This window comes from Homo sapiens, chromosome 18 (assembly GCF_000001405.40).
Source record: "Homo sapiens chromosome 18, GRCh38.p14 Primary Assembly".
Lineage (NCBI taxonomy): Eukaryota > Metazoa > Chordata > Mammalia > Primates > Hominidae > Homo > Homo sapiens.
The window spans coordinates 45,328,751-45,344,970 of record NC_000018.10 but is presented as its reverse complement, the minus strand read 5'-3'; the positions used below and the strand labels follow the sequence as shown (position 1 = coordinate 45,344,970).

The following is a 16,220-nucleotide window of genomic DNA, read 5'->3' as shown; positions in this document are numbered from 1 at the left end:
TTCCTTGGGAAGAGGCCACGGTTCAGTCTCCTGATGGCAGGACCAGCACAGCTCTGCATGCTGGATAATTAGGAGGCTCAGTTTAATTCCAAATATCTGGGCAACAATCAATAGTGAGAGCATGAGGGGTGTGTGGCTGGACTGGTTTACGTGACGGGTCATGCATTAGGTGCCTAATTGATGTGGCTTCTTGGGATGCAGTAATGCCACTGACGCACACCACTTTCCTATTACTAGGCTTAATGGTTCATCTTTTGATTTCTGCCTCACTCCCAGCACAGTGTTATTTAAATAAGACCCTATTAGGAGATTTATTTATCATAAGGTACCTTACTGACTCCAACCTTTTGACAACGTTTCTGGGATTTGCTTCTTCCCCCTTGCATCCAAAATATCTGCCTGTCTGAACCCTTCTAGACCCTGCTCTAAGTGTCTCTTCATCTGGTTGTTTATTTGTATTATTTATAACAAACTAGTAATTGTGAACATAGAAGTTTTCCGAGTTCTGTGAGTTGTTTTAGGGAATTATCAAAACTAAGGGTGTTATAGGAAGCTGTGAATTTGTAGCCAGCCAGCCAGCCAGCGGAACTTGGGGTTACCCTGACTTTTGGCTGGTGTTGGAAGTTGGGGCAGTCTTTCAGGATGGAACCCTTTGTTTATGTGGTCTTAGAGAACTTCAGGTAGTGTCAGAATTGAATTGAATGACATCTAAGTGGTATTGGAGGACTGGCGTTCAAACTCACAGAAATTAAGTAGTCCCCCAATGAATAGATCAGTGTATATTGATTTAGTGAAGGAGATACATGGGAGATTGTCAGGTACTATGGGGCATAGTAGGAGTGATAATAATATAATGACAATGATTGTGACAAATTCTAACTAGACAATTACACAGAGGGCTTTCACATACTTTGATGAAAGTTATTGGGCCAGCAAATTGTAGCTGCTTTTATGCACAAATTGCATCACAAATGTTGCTTTCTTGGGAGACGAGCCCTCATACAGTTTCCCTACTTCCCCTCCAGGGACTATAGTTTCAGGGTGTCTGAGGTCTCATATAATCAGATATTGCTGTCACACAAAATCTAGTCTTGTCATCACTCCACAAATTGTCCCTTCTGGATCCTTCATGTATTTGGTACAGGCGGTGATTTCAAATTTCTTTTGATCTCATGGTGCCTGCAATTTCTAAGGCCCTTTGATTACTCAAAGGAATCACAGGGCCACAATTTGATGGAGTCAGGGACTCAGGAATCCTTTCAAAGGCTTCACAAAGGCAAGAGAGAATCCTTTCAGCCAAAATTAAATCATAGCATTTTATTTTTATCAGATATTGCTATCATCTTCCCCCTCCCTTTGCTGCCATGAAAATTGAGAAACTGGGAATCCAATTACAAAGGCGAGATAAAAAGGGAAGATAGTAAAACATTTTAATTGGATGGAGAGACATGGAATCCTGTGGCTCTGGAGTGCTTCGAACTCTCCCTGTGTCACAGTAGCACGTCAGGGGGTCACAGGAGGGAGGAGTAGTGAGGTGAGAGGAGAGAAAGAGACTGTCATGGGAGCATTCAACCAACAAGGGGACCATCATGCAGCACCCCGACGCCCTAGCATTGGTTACCTCTGATCACCTGAAACTACATACTGGCAGGCACAAGGCAGCCCAAATAAAATAACACATCTCCTCTGTGGGACTCATTTCAGATGCAGAGTCTCAGAGCTGAGAGAGAGACACAATGCAACCTTCAATAAATGAAGGTAACTTTGAGGAGCTTCCCTTGGAGTTGGGTTAGGGTTTTGCTTATGAGGAAAAAAAAAAAAAAAAAAAGCAGAGAGAACAGTTTTCAGCAGCAGCATGGATAGGACTAACTCAGGTAGGTTGTGCCACCCAGATTTAGGTTCCTCTATCCAGTTTTCTGGCCTCCCGCTACTGCTAGTCTTGGCAACTCATCAGGGTTTTGGAGAACAGGGACAATGGTTCGGAGTTTGTAATCCAGGTATCAAAGAAAGACTGATTAAAGGTCTGAATAATGGTTACACAGGGATTGGTAGACCTGGAGCTTCCTGCTCTGGAAATAGTTCTATAACTAGAAGTAGATCTGGAAGTTCTATATTTCTTCCAAGGACAGAGCTCAAGTTTCAGAGAATCACCAGTCACTAGATTGCATTGTCATGGAAAGGTCTTGGACGTTAGGAATAATTCATGATTATCTTTCCATATTCAGTTCAACACCAAGTCTGGCTCAATTTACCTCCTAAGTATGTCTTGAATAGTTGAATTTCTCCATCCTAGTCATCAATATTGTGGTGCAAACAAACATTATCTTTCTGCAAGACACTAGCAATAACCTTTTCTTGGGCTCCCTGCATTCATCTGGTTGCTCTGAGTTATATTCTCCACATTTCAGCAAAAATGACCTCCTCAAAATATCAGTCTGACCATAACCCTTTTGTTCTAAATTAAAATTCTCCAAGTCCCAGCATGGACTGGCCCGTGTTCACGTCTCTGCCCTTGACTTTAAACCACACATCCTCCCTCACTCTCAAGCCCAGCTACACAGATCTGCTGTCTCTTCTTTCAAAGGAATCCCCCTGCTGTTCCTGCCTTCCAGACACTCTTCTACTTCCCTTCTTCTTATCTGCCATATCTCAGCTCAAGCCCTTATCCAGCAACGTCTCATCTGGTCACCCTAACCTCATAGTGTCAGAAACTGTTCAGAGCTGCATTCCTTTATTATTATTATTTTAGTTAACAGAGTTGATTATCATTATTCACAGTTCTGTTCAACAATGTTGCCATAAATCCTGAATTAGCGAATACCGAACCTCGTTCCTAGGGGAAATGTACAGCTACTTCATTGTAAGCCTCTGGTCACAGTATTTTTATCAACCAATCAATACATAACCTTGTCTTATGCATGCCTCTGTTTAAAGATGCTGTATTTAATACATATTTTAATTCATTAATATTAAATTTATGGTGAACAACACTATAACTCCAGGCTGAACAAAGCTTGCCTAATACATATTTTCTTTGTAAGACACATCACAGCCTTCTTGTGCTTAGAAATACTAGACAGTGGGATCAGGCGTGGTGGCTCGTGCCTGTAATCCCAGCACTTTGGGAGGCAAAGGGAGGCAGATCACTTGAGGTCAGGAGTTTGAGATCAGTCTGGCCAACATGGTGAAACCTGTCTTTATTAAAAATACAAAAATTAGCCAGGTGTGGTGGCACCTATAGTTCCAGCAACTCGGGATGCTGAGGCAGGAGAATTGCTTGAACCCAGCAGGCAGAGGTTGCAGGGAGCCGAGACCACACCACTAGGTGGCCAAGTAAAAGTCCATCTCAAAAAAAAAAAAAAAAAAAAAAAAAAAGTAATACTAGACAGTGTTTCAACACTAGGCTTGGGGGCCATTTAAAAAAGTGAATTCACCAACAAAATGTGCAAAAATGAGAACATGTGTGGCACCAAATAGAATGTGAAAGAGACATTTGTTTATAGGAGGAGAGATTAAACAAGTCAGTGTCACTCTGGTAAACCTCAGCTGGGAACTTTCTTTTCAGGCCACCGTAATTTTTCACCACTCTGTGCATGACTGCAAATGAGGTTACCAATACATTTTAGTGAGCAGGCAAATTTGCAAATATGGAACTGGCAAATAATGAAGATCAATTCTATTTTATCCTCCATCGATTATAAGGTCTTTGAGGGTTGTTTGTTAATTTTTTGCTTTACACTTGGCCCACCGGACTTAACAGTGCCTAGGAAGGAAGTGGTAGATGCTTAATAAATACGTGTTCAGAAACAAATAAATATGAGAAATGCCTGAGGCTATATATTGAAAAAATAAACCACAATCTTGGTCAGTTGTCTATTCATGCAAAGAAATGATTCAAGCCTTTCTACAGCCACCCTTGGGGCCTTGATCTGAGATGGACTTCCTGGCTGGATGACAGGAGGATGGCTCAGAATTGTTTTTCTTATCTTCTCCAATACAGCAACTCTATTGTTAAGGGACTGGCCAACCTGTGGTCTAATCCTTCATTGACTGTATTTGTTCCCAGCAGGGACCACCCTTTGGGGTTGCAGGTTGTGAAGGGTGGCTTCACCCTTACCCATGCTGTGATTTGCCCAAAGTGACACACATAAAGGGCCATCGCAGGAACCAGAACTCAAGGTTTCTTCCACACCAGTACTCTTTTCTCCATACTACAGGATCCCCTTTCTGACAAACACAGTGTTTGTGGTTACAGCTTATAGTTCATTACTCTACCAATTATTGCAGAGAAAGAATGCTTTCAATTCAGAATCTCTAGCCTACAAAAGACCAGGAAAGTTGTATTGTAATTTTTACCATTAACTTGCTTTAGGATCCAGAGCAAATATACCTTGAATTACTTACATTGGTAAGACTTTTCTGTTAGGCATTCTATGATGGACTCCGATTGAATATCAGAGATACTCTACCTTCATAATCAGGACAACAAATTCTCTGACTTTTCTGGGAATTTCTCACCTCCCTTTATCTTCACAAACTCTGGAATAAAAGTATGGCAGCTATTTGTCTCCTCCTTTGACAGATGGGCAGGGCATGTACTTCTCAGGGCGATCAGGAGGAATGAGATAACATAGAGAAAAGCCCTCCATCAGCACACAGTCATTTCTAAATCTTAGGTCCAGATAAGTAACTGCCCAAGGTTGCATAAGCAAAATGGTAAGAGAGGTAATTTTTTTCCTGTCATGTAATTGCTTCTGGACAAGCCAAAATTTGGAGATGATGAACATGTTCAGAAATGCTGCTCTGAGAAAGGTAGGGTTCCATGCTGGCCATAGATGGGTAAGTGTGAGAGAATTAATCAAAGCATAATGAAAGGGAGTTTCCTTTTCAGATAGCACATGTGACCTACCAAGCCACCCAGGACTCTTTTCTGTGCCCAGGTAAGCAGAGGCTATGCTCTAATATCTGATGGATGAGTCATCTTCAAATGCAGTTTCATCAGCTTCTTCACGTTTTCCTTATGCTTTAATCCCATGACCACAGCGAAGCTGACCATATGCCTTGTTTTCCTAGGACAGTACCAGTTTACATCAGTTGTCCTGGCACTATTAACAGTGCATCCTTTTGCTCTCTGAAGTGTCCCCCTTTGGACAATAAATTATATGGTCACCCTACCCATGGACTATGCCATCAAACCTGCTCAGCCTGGAATCCAATGCATCACCAATCTGCCAAAAACCTGCCCACACAACCTGCTCTTTCCTTTCTTCCCACCATCCATTGCTCAGCTGATGCTCTTTTCATTGTCCACAATCCAGGTCATTCTCTTCTCCATGTAGTTATATTGTTTGCGATTTACTTCAAAATGCAGATAGCATAATGAATGTGTGTGTGTGTGTGTTTGTGTGTGTGTGTGTTCATTTTAATCTATACCCTAGAGGTGATTGATGAGTATGTGTAGTTCCTTAATAAGGACTGCATACTTCAGAGGTGCATAGTTAGTATTTTAAAAACTCAAATCAGAAACTGTAGCTCCAGAGGCACCTACTGCAGGCATTCAGCTTTCTTTATTTCTCGTTATGACCAGTGGCTTTGTTAATTAGAATAACAGATGTTAGAAAGCATGTTTTCATTGATGGCTAGAATGTGGAATTGGCTTGCAGTGTTGTACAGGCAGTCTTGTCCTAGTATAAATGAGGTATAAGGAGGCCAGGTGCGGTGGCTTGTGCCTGTAATCCCAGCACTTTGGGAGGCAGAGGTGGGCAGATCACCTGAGGTTGGGAGTTTGAGACCAGCCTGGCCAACATGGCAAAACCCTATCTCTACTAAAAACAAACAAACAAATAACAACAACAGAAACAGAAAAATTAGCCCAACATGGTGGCACACACCTGTAATCCCAGCTACTTGGGAGGCTGAGGTGGGAGAATTGCTTGAACCCCGGAGGAGGAGGCTGCAGTGAGCAAAGATCACACCACTGCACTCCAGCCTAGGTGACAGAGCAAGACTCTATCTCAAGAAAAAAAAAAAAGGTATAAGAATCTAGTGAGAGCAATTTTGTTGTCACTTTGGAATGGTGTCCCTGGGGTTAGGAACCCAATCGGTCCCCTATCTTTCCTTATCAGATTAGGTCACCAGAACTGTGCCACAAGAATATTGCTGCATCTGCTTCAGTGCACGTTTTCACACGAGGACAGAGGGACAGGACCCATGTTGCTGACAGGGTTGTTGACAAAAATAAACTCTGTAAATAAAGAGTTTTTTTTTTTTTTTTTTTTTTTTTTTTTTGTGAGCCAGTGTGAGTTACTATGGCCTGGGGAACAGTCTCAAGAGGTCCTGAGAAAGTGGGCCTGTCGTGGTGAGGTTACACATTGTTTTTATACACTTTAGAGAGGCAGAAATTGTAGGTAAAATCATGAATCAATACATGAAAGGTATACATTGGTTCAGCTAAAGAGGTGGGATAACTTGGCCGGGCACAGTGGTTCACACCTGTAATCCCAACACTTTGGGAGGCAGAGGCGGGCGGATCATGAAGTCAGGAGATCGAAACCATCCTGGCTAAGAGGGTGAAACCCTGTCTCTACTAAAAAATACAAAAAATTAGCCAGGTGTGGTGGCAAGCGCCTGTAGTCCCAGCTAATCGGGAGGCTGAGGCAGGAGAATGGCATGAACCCAGGAGGCGGAGCTTGCAGTGAGCCAAGATCACGACACTGCACTCCAGCCTGGGTAACAGAGTAAGACTCAGTCTCAAAAAAAATCAAAAAACAAACAAACAAAAAAACAGGTGGAATAACTTGAATCAGGGGTAGTGGTCAGCTTACAGGTCATAGGTGGATTCAAAGATTTTCTGACTGGCAATTGGTTGAAAGAATTAAGCTTTGTCTATACACTTGAAGTCAGTAGAAGGAAATGCTTGAGGTAAGATATAAGGGGGTTGTGGAGAGCAGGGTTCTTATTATGTAGATGAAGCCTCCAGGTTACAGCCTTCAGAAAGAATAAGTGGCAAATGTCTGTTTTGGGACCTTAAAAGGTGTCATATTCTTAATCTCTCCTAGATCTGGGAAAAGCCTGGCTGCATTATTGGAGAATCTCTACAGATGCAAATTTTCCCCACTAAAGATGGCTTTGCAGGGCCATTTCAAAATACACCAAAGAAATATATTGTGGGGTTACATATTTTGATTTCTTTCAGGGTCAGCTATCTGTCATGTGATGCTATGCCAGAGTCAGGTTAGAATTTGGTATCTTATTGCCAAAAGGAATCTGTTGTCAGTCTTATGATCTCTATTTTATTTATAGAGATCATGTTAATGCTGGTCAGCTCTGCCTAAATTCCAAAGGGAGAAGGGTATAATGAGGAATAATGAGGCATGTCCCACTTGCTTTCCTGTCATGGCAGGGAATTCAGTTTTTCAGGTTTCTCTGGGGTTCTCTTGGCCCAGAATGCGTCTAGTCAGTTGGTTGAGGAAGTTTAGGATTTTATTTTTGGCTTACAGGTTGTGTGACTGTTTTCATACTTGTCTGCTAATAAACTTGTGTGCATATGGCAGAATTGAGTACTACATGGAGGGCTAACTACTTGGTAAATTATTACCTGGAAGCAAGTTAGTGGGAAAACTGGCATTTATCCCTCTTCTACCTTTTACTTCTGAGGCAACCAGTATCTACAAACCATAACTAAATAATCGGCATGGGTCAGTTTGCAAGGAATTTCATGCCTCTTTGCATGTTGGTCTCCTCTACCAAATTGACCCTCCTTCATATTCCCCATCCTAATTTATTCTCATCCTTCCAAGCCTAGTTCAAGTACTCCTCATAGCCAAAGTCTCCTGGCTACTCCAGCCCTTCTGAGTTCCTATTCTGAACTCCCATCCTGCTTAGAGCTGGAGGTATACAACCCAATACACGGTTATATAATCTAAGGGGTTTTTTTTTTCTAAATATTTTTGTATGCACACTTAAAAAAAAAAACTAGGCTATAAACATCCTGAGTGTGGAAATGTATTCCCCTTCCATTGGAGCCACTTTAACAGCCTGACCCCAAGGTAAATGCATATTGTATACTCAGTAAATACTTGCTGGTCAATCAATTGACTTAAGAACCTGAACCAATAGACCTTGAGCCTCCATGCATTTGGGCTGTGAGGAAAGACAGAGGCCAGTTGATGAAGGATGCTGAATTCCAGGCTGTAGATTTAGTTTTGGTGATGGATGAAACTAGGAGCCATCATAGGCAGTTATTGTTACATTTCCATGTGAAATATGGGACCAGAGGAACAATCCCAGAACATCTGCCCAGGGCTGGAGGCCAATACATATCCTCCAGATGTGACTCAGGGATCTATGAATGTACTCTTCCTGCTCTGTTGGCGATGAGGTAACAGGGGGACAGAGGCAAGATCCAGGGGGAAAACTGATGAAATGAGAGACATTACTAGGTGCACCACCAGAGAGCAGTTGATTTCTAGGTTCTGAATATTGTGCTGTAAATATCAGCATCTTAGGATCTCAGTGGGAGAAAGGGCCCTCCGAGATCACCTGGCCCAGCCTCCTGCCCAGTGCAGAATTATTAACTATGGCAGGCTGATGTTAATTAGGGTTCCCTGCTGCTTCCCCTGTAAAGCTCCTTTTCTCAAGGGTCTATCCCTCAACTTTTATATCCAGTTAGGCTACTGCCCAGAGGACATTTTCCCAGTTCAAATACCCTTTTGTTTTCTTTTGGATTCACTTCTTTTAAGTGTTTTCCTTATGAACAAGGCAACAAGAAAGTGGGTGTCCAGGTGGTACATGTTGCATCTCCTTTGCTACCCCTCATTTTTCTAATTAATTGGTCCATTTTCAAAGCAAAAGCTGGCAGGCACTTGCTCCTTTAGGGTCTTTCTAAACCTGCCAAAAACAGCCACGTTAAAAAACCTATTTTATGACTAGGTTTTCCAAAGTTACAGCCTCTCTCATTCCAACCAGCTTGGCGAGAAGGAGGCCAAAACACAGATTAAGCCATTTTCTCCTCGTTATCGCCCCATTAAGCTTGCAAAGATGCTGAGGAAGCCCAGCGCTTCATCTACCTGTTCTGGCCAGGGAACCAGCAAGAATTTAGCACCTTCCTCTGAAAGGAGCCATTTATCCAATGAATCAGGGAGAGGCTCCTCCTTTCCTGGCTGGAAGAGGAAACCCTACAAGTAAAATGCAGTAAAACCTTGGCAGCTCAGAACCTGTGGGGAATGAATCATTCTGGCAAGGGAAGTTTTTCAGGTTTCTTAGGGTGACTTCCTTAGCCTTCAAAATTCAAAATAATTCTAGCTATTTTGGAAATTTCTATAGGGTATATTCTGTATTTCCATGTCTTCTTAAATAGAGAATACTCACCACAAGTTGTTCTTGTCTTTATTGCTGAGAGCCATCTTTATTGACATCTATTCTTATGGCTTAAATGAATGATGTGAGGCATGAAAGACTGGTGGTTACACCCAGGATACAAAACACTTCACTTTGCATTCTCATACCTGCATATAATAGTGTTTATGCCTCCTTCCTCTACTGCAGTCAATCAATCTACCTTCAATAGATGTCCTCAAAAAAGCATCTAATTTACACATACAACAACTTAGATGTATCTCAAAGTAATCTTGCTAAGTAAAAGAAGCTAGACAAAAAGAAATAAAAGAAGGAAAGAATGAAAAAGATGCCACACTGTGTTGATTCCATTTATACGAAACTCTAGCAAGGGCAAAGTCATCTGTTGTGACAAAAAGCTGATCAGAGGCTGCTTGGAGTGGGTGGCAGGGGAGGAAAAGGAGTAGGAAGGATGGAAAGGAGGGATGACAAAGGGGCATAAGATAATTTGGGGGGAAGATAGATACTTCATTATTTTGATTGTGGTGATGGTAGCAAATTGCATACTTTAATAAGTGCAATTTATTTTATATTAATTGTACTTCTGTACAGCTGTTTAAATATATACATATGTAAATAAAAACTGCACACTCATTCACCAAAATTCTTGTGGGAGCACTTCAGTACCAAGTCAGGAGGTGAACATTTAGCGAGAAGAGGGAGGTGGAAGAGACAGGCAGAACACAGGGCTTTCTGGGTAGACCCCTCCGCCAGCAGGCGTTGGGGGGCACCTGCTCTGTGGTGTGCAGATCCCAAAGAAAAGATGAATGCCAATCACAGTCACCATTCACCTAGGGCTACCTGTGCTGCAGGCTTGCTCCCAGCATCTCACAGCTACTGACTCATTTACTCCTCAGGACAACTCCAGGACACAGAGGAGCAAAAATTTTTAACCTATTTTATGGATAAAAGAAAAGAAAGATCAAGGCAAAATGGGTTCTAAATGTGAGGGGTCATCTAGAATGTACATTCAAAAGATAATTTCCAAAGTTCTGTGATTTTACAGACCAAGATGGACCCACAGAAGTAAATACATTTATACGTTATTGTGACAAAAGTGCTTAAGAACTTTCTTTCTTATTCTTCAGGTGGTGTAATGGGAATTTGCTAACTTCTTTTACTACTGCCACTGTAGTACAGGAAGTTTCCAGAATTACAAAACAAAAAAGAGGAATATATGTGGCTGTCACATGAACTGAAACATGTGGCTACTGCATGCACATCCCCAATGTCTCCAGTGCTTCCTCATGCTACTGGTTGGGGTCTAAAGTGTTTGTAATGGAGGGTTAACAGGAAATTCTCATTCAATAGACAAAGCAAAATGCAATTGTTCTTTGGGGTCCTAATATGCAGACTTCCACTTACAATAAAGGGCAATGACTGCGATTAAATTTTTATATAATTTCTTCTATTATATCACTGATTACCTACAAATCCTGGAGCAAACCATTCAGCATTGCCCACACCTCAAGGAACAAAAGCAACACAGGCTTTTGAATAGGATGCTGAACAAATAGGATGCCAGAAATAGTCCCTTTACCTTAAATTATTAGTTTCCACAAGAAGAAACTGAGACTAATGTCAGAACCTGTTTGTATGGTATACCACCATGTACAGTAAACTATATATAGTTCTCATTATAAAATTGGGCTTCATCAATTTCAACAGACACTTTTTAAGTTAAAAAACATTCCAAAGATTATTATTAATAGGTGTCAATACTGGGTGGGCTTAGTACAGAGCTCAGTGCTTGGCACTCAATAAACACTTATTAAATTAATGAATGGAGTCAAGATCCTCTTGCCCAAAATAAGCACAAACTTTAGCTTAACCTTGCCTTCTAATTTGACAAGGCGTATTAAAGACTAGTTGGCTATAAGTGGCATAAGCTCCTTTAGACAGAGCAGGAGTTTACACCCCTTCAAACTTCCCGCCATGCCTAGCAAAAAGGTGATGTTCTTCATGAGCCTTCAGTAAAGATTCATGAGTTAACTGATTGCAATTTACTGACTCTACAATATTTCTCAAGACCAGTTCTGGTACAGATCTACTGTTATTTTCTAGGCATATTGTAGAATATAAATTATACTGTCAATACAAATTAAAGGGCATTAAACCATGCTTTGAATTTCAAGAAAATACCCTTAAAAATTTCTGTTAGATAGCTCCTACCTGTATTATGACTCTTTCCCAAGTATCTCTTTTCTAGTATAATAACTCCTACAGATTTACTCTTGGAGTCAGTCACTGGCTTTATTGCATACTGTAGCCACTATTACAAATAAGGATTTTTTTTTGCCTCTATCTAAATATTTTCATCTCTGGGTTCCAGACTCCTCTGCTTGATCCTCTGAGAAGGCAAATAACTTCTTCTGTCAATGGATATGATTCCCCAGAAGATACTGATGCATTTGGGAGTATAATTTGGCTGAGGAAGGAGATAACCTGAAACCACAAACCACCCTAAACACTCTATTATTAGCAAAGAGAAAAAAGCCAAATTGAGTTGGAGAAAAGCCTTGCTGAATGATAAATTGCCAGAGCTGTGTAGCTCAGGAGATTTCAGCCCATTTACCCCAGCTGCATTTTTATGAATTCTTCAGGAAAGAACTTTGAAATAGAAAGACTAATAGTCAGGATCTGAATGACTGCATTTGCTCCCAAAGGCGGTCTGAATCTTGAGAAAAGTGGCTGGGAAATTCACTTGCAAATGTCACCAGGACCAAGCCCTTATGTTGTTCTCCTTGTACAAAATTGTGTCACCCCAATGGTTGCCAGCACTTTTATTTCAATCTAAGCTCTGGACTTAGTTTAGGAACCATAATTCCAAAAATGTCTCTGCAGGCCAAGATAGCAGTTGTCAACCTGGATTGAGACTTTGACTCAACTTTGCAATTTTTTATTCCTCTTTGGGTTTTTAATTCTCTTTGATGTATGGTTATGTATTTGTCTTATTTCCTCTCTTCTACTATTTTGGAAGTCTCTTGAAAGAAGTTCCTACAGGAACCATCCAGGACCTGGTCCTTAATTATTAGTGGGCACAATAATATACAGTCATTCCTTAGTATTTGTGGGAGATTGGGCAAGACCTCCCACGGATACCAAAATCCATGGATACTCAACTCTCTTATATAAAATGGTGTAGTATTTTCATATAACCTATACACATCCTTCCATGTAACTTTAATTATCTTTAGATTACTTATAATACCTAATACATGTAAATTCTATATAAATAGTTATGTTGTATAGGGAATAGCGACAAGAAAAGAAGTTTGTACATGTTTAGTACAGGTTCAATTTTTTTTCAAATATTTTTGATCCACAGTTGGTTGAATCTACAGATGTATAACCCACAGATACAGAGGGCCAACTGTATTTGAAACCAGAACTGATTGCCAAGGAGAAATCCAGCAGTATGAAAACAAAGTAAATCCACCACATTAGTTGATTGGAATGTTACAGCTTCCCTTAACTTCAGAGAAGTTTTAGAAGAGAGATAAGAGTAGACATGGATTTTGAAGGGGACAGGATTTATTCTTTACAAATAGCTAAGTTTTTTAGACCCATCCAGCTGCCACTCAAGAGCAGAGATGAGGCTTCTCATTGTTAACCCCACCTGCTGTCTGCACAGAGGAAGGTCAAATATGGCCTGAACTCCAATGACAAGAAGAGGTCACTTCATATTTAGAAGTAAAATATATTTGTTTTCCTGGAATATTTCAAAGCAGGTCTGAGTGTTTTGTGTTTGTGTTTTTGGTGCAGGAAAATAGATGGAACAAGAGTGCTAGAATGTTAAGGATCATTCAAGTAATGGTACATGAGGGCATATATACTATTCTATTTTATGTATGTTTGAAGGATTAATTTTTTTTTTTTTTTTTGAGACGGAGTCTCGCTCTGTCACCCAGGCTGGAGTGCAGTGGTGCGATCTCGGCTCACTGCAACCTCCGCCTCCTGGGTTCATGCCATTCTCCTGCCTCAGCCTCCCGAGTAGCTGGGACTACAGGTGTCCGCCACCACGCCCGGCTAATTTTTTTTTATTTTTAGTACAGACAGGGTTTCACGTGTTAGCCAGGATGGTCTCGATCTCCTGACCTTGTGATCCGCCTGCCTCAGCCTCCCAAAGTGCTGGGATTACAGGCGTGAGCCACCACACCCGGCCAGGATTAAATATTTTTTAAATTATGTAAAAACTAAAAAAGAGAGGGTTACTTCTTTGCCATCTTTAGAAACTTGCTGAGGGAAGAGCAGCTCCATGCTGCTTGTCAAAATTTTTATGTAGTTTTAAAATAATTTAGTATTTGTATAAGGGGATATTACAGGAGACTTGGCTTTAGGTTTTACTTCACTGGGTTCCCAAATCTGAAGACAAAGGGAGTTAGATGTCCGTATATTCTAAAGACGGATGCCTGAACATCGATGCAGTACTTGCTAGGAATATGGCTGTTGTGGGTTGAATGGTGTCATATATGTCTCCAATTATTTTATCCAAAAGTCTTACAGAATTTGGGGCACAAAAATATCAACAATTTTACCTATGTATTTTCTTATGTTCCTTGGGTTTTATGTTATATCACCATTTGTATATTTTTTCAATCACGTATTTTTTGAAAATGCATGAAGCACTTCCATGTTTGTGTGGTATGTGTCAATTTATCCTCACAACAACCACATAAATTCAAGAAGGCAGAGATTATCCCAAACTTTTAGCTCAGGAATTGTAGACTCAGTGCAACGGCTTCTCTAGCTAGTGAGTGTCAATGAAAGACTTGATCCAGAATCTTGATCTTCTTATTTCAAGCCCAATATTCTCTTTCTCTAATACAAGACTTTCTGAATTGGAAATGGCCCGAGGGACAGCGTGTTAAGGGTCTGGCGGGAGAGTGAAGACTTGCCTGGGTGCATCACATCCATGACCTCACATCTGCATGCAGAGCTGAAAAAGGATCTATGTGTGCTAACTCATGAAGTCCATATTCCATGTTCCTGTGGGCTATTTGGGATGGGCAGGCATTCTGCCTTCTTTAGTATATCCTCTATCACTCAAAGATAGGGCATGACTAACATTCCACGTTCATCACTCCTCAGCCTCTGGCAACCATGCACCATCATCACTTACACACAAAAATGTTTTCCCAGCCTCCCATCAGAAGGCCGTGTGCTCTGAAATGCAACCTCAAGCCTAATGATAAATTTTCCCCCAGCTACCCACACTCTTTTGCCTGTGACCAATTGTCTGTGACCAATTTCAAGTCCAGCTGGACAGGCTTAGGGGTACAATTGGAAGCCAAAAAAAGAGGCTGTCTTGATGTAACACAAACACCAGAGGTCACAGTCATGGCTCTGGTCTCACTAGCTCCTTGCTTGACCCTACTGAATGAGCTGGCTGGGATATCAGTTCTGCTTGCTTTCCAGGTCTCAGCTTACACCCAAAGACTCATCAACCAAGCAGGTTCAGACCCTCCTTCAGTCACTGAAATCCAAAATTATTTAATTCTTTGAGCCTTAGTTTCCTCTTCTGTAGAACGAGATATTATTTTCTCTTTGCTGAATGGTTATGAAGGTTAAGTGAGAGTATGTATATAAAGCACTTGTCACTGCACACAACATAACCTCAATAAATGGTGCCCATGATAGCAAGGATGATAATAGGTTTACAAGTATTATTTATTATATTACAAACCATGATGACTTGGAATTTAAACTGGGTGTCTGCCTAGTTGAGTTTACCTAAGTTTTTGTTTGTTTGTTTCTTTGTGTTGGCTCCATGCATGTATAGTATCTCCTTCTATCTTTTTCCTTCCCAAATAAACATCTATTTCTGGTCAAGCACTGTGCTGGGCACTGTGGGAGTTACAAAGAAGAGAAAGATGCACTTCTAGACTTGCAGGCATTTAGAATCTCACAGCAGAGTCAAGGTATACATATTTTAAACAATTGGATAACAACACAGGCTGGTGGCAATTGAGAAAAAGTGGGGAAAAAAAACCTTTCATTCTTGCTCCACTGAGTCTTACCCCCTCCTTATAAATTACCTCAGGTGTCAATCACTAGCTTTGGCTCCAAATGCTCAAGCACATTTCTAAATGGAAGCTTCCCTGGGACACAGTCTTTTCTATTTGTAGAGGGTGTTGTAGTCTGCAAATTGATGGTTATTTGAAGATATGCTAGGGAGGAGGACAGGGATCACTCTAGAGGCAGGGTGCTGCCAGCATGCACACATACACACTCATCATCCCTAAGGCTCCCCAAGTTCAGTCTCTTTGAAATGAACTTGCCTCACCGTCTTGCAAGAAATATATAATTGTATGGCCATTTCCTCCATCATAATCTGCTCCATAATACAGAAGAAATGCTACCTTGCCAAAGGAAATAAGACATTGGCAATCAGCATCTCTCCCCAGACCTTGTCAAAGAGCCATAACCGTAACAAAATAAACAAATAGATCATCAAAACATTTCTTTTCCCTTTCCCCTCACTTGTCTCCTTTTTTTCTTTCACTTTGAATGCTCCATTAGAGTGTAGAAAATTTCACAGTTTTCTCCAGCTCTGGAAAAATCGTTAGGCCCTTCTGCTGGTCGGCTTTGGAAACATTTGGAACAAATTATCTCTACTTTTGGAATCTGAATAAAGGAATGTGAGCTTCACTGGAGAAATGTGAAATCTAGGGCGGGATTCGCAAAATGGTTTAAGGTTTGCTTTTGCACACATACTTTTTTTGAGTTTGTTTGGGTTTGGAACGTATTATAAGAAAAATAACAAGATTTGCAATGTGCTTTTCATAATTCCTTTGCTTTTCATAAAAACCAATTGGCTCCTC

General features: G+C 40.9%; 1 protein-coding gene across 4 annotated transcripts in view, besides 1 other annotated feature; it reads right to left on the bottom strand.

Moving 5' to 3' along the window:
• SLC14A2 (solute carrier family 14 member 2) overlaps window positions 1–16,220 on the bottom strand; it is a 515,726-nt gene that overhangs the window by 338,718 nt on the left and 160,788 nt on the right. The gene's annotated exons all lie outside the window — the stretch shown is intronic.
• Window positions 8,817–9,382: an enhancer, noted in NCBI's record as "NANOG hESC enhancer chr18:42915554-42916119 (GRCh37/hg19 assembly coordinates)". NCBI's record gives its function as "activates a minimal SCP1, AML or CMV promoter by ChIP-STARR-seq in naive H9 embryonic stem cells {active_cell/tissue: H9 hESC(naive)}" and the evidence as "EXISTENCE:reporter gene assay evidence [ECO:0000049][PMID:30033119]".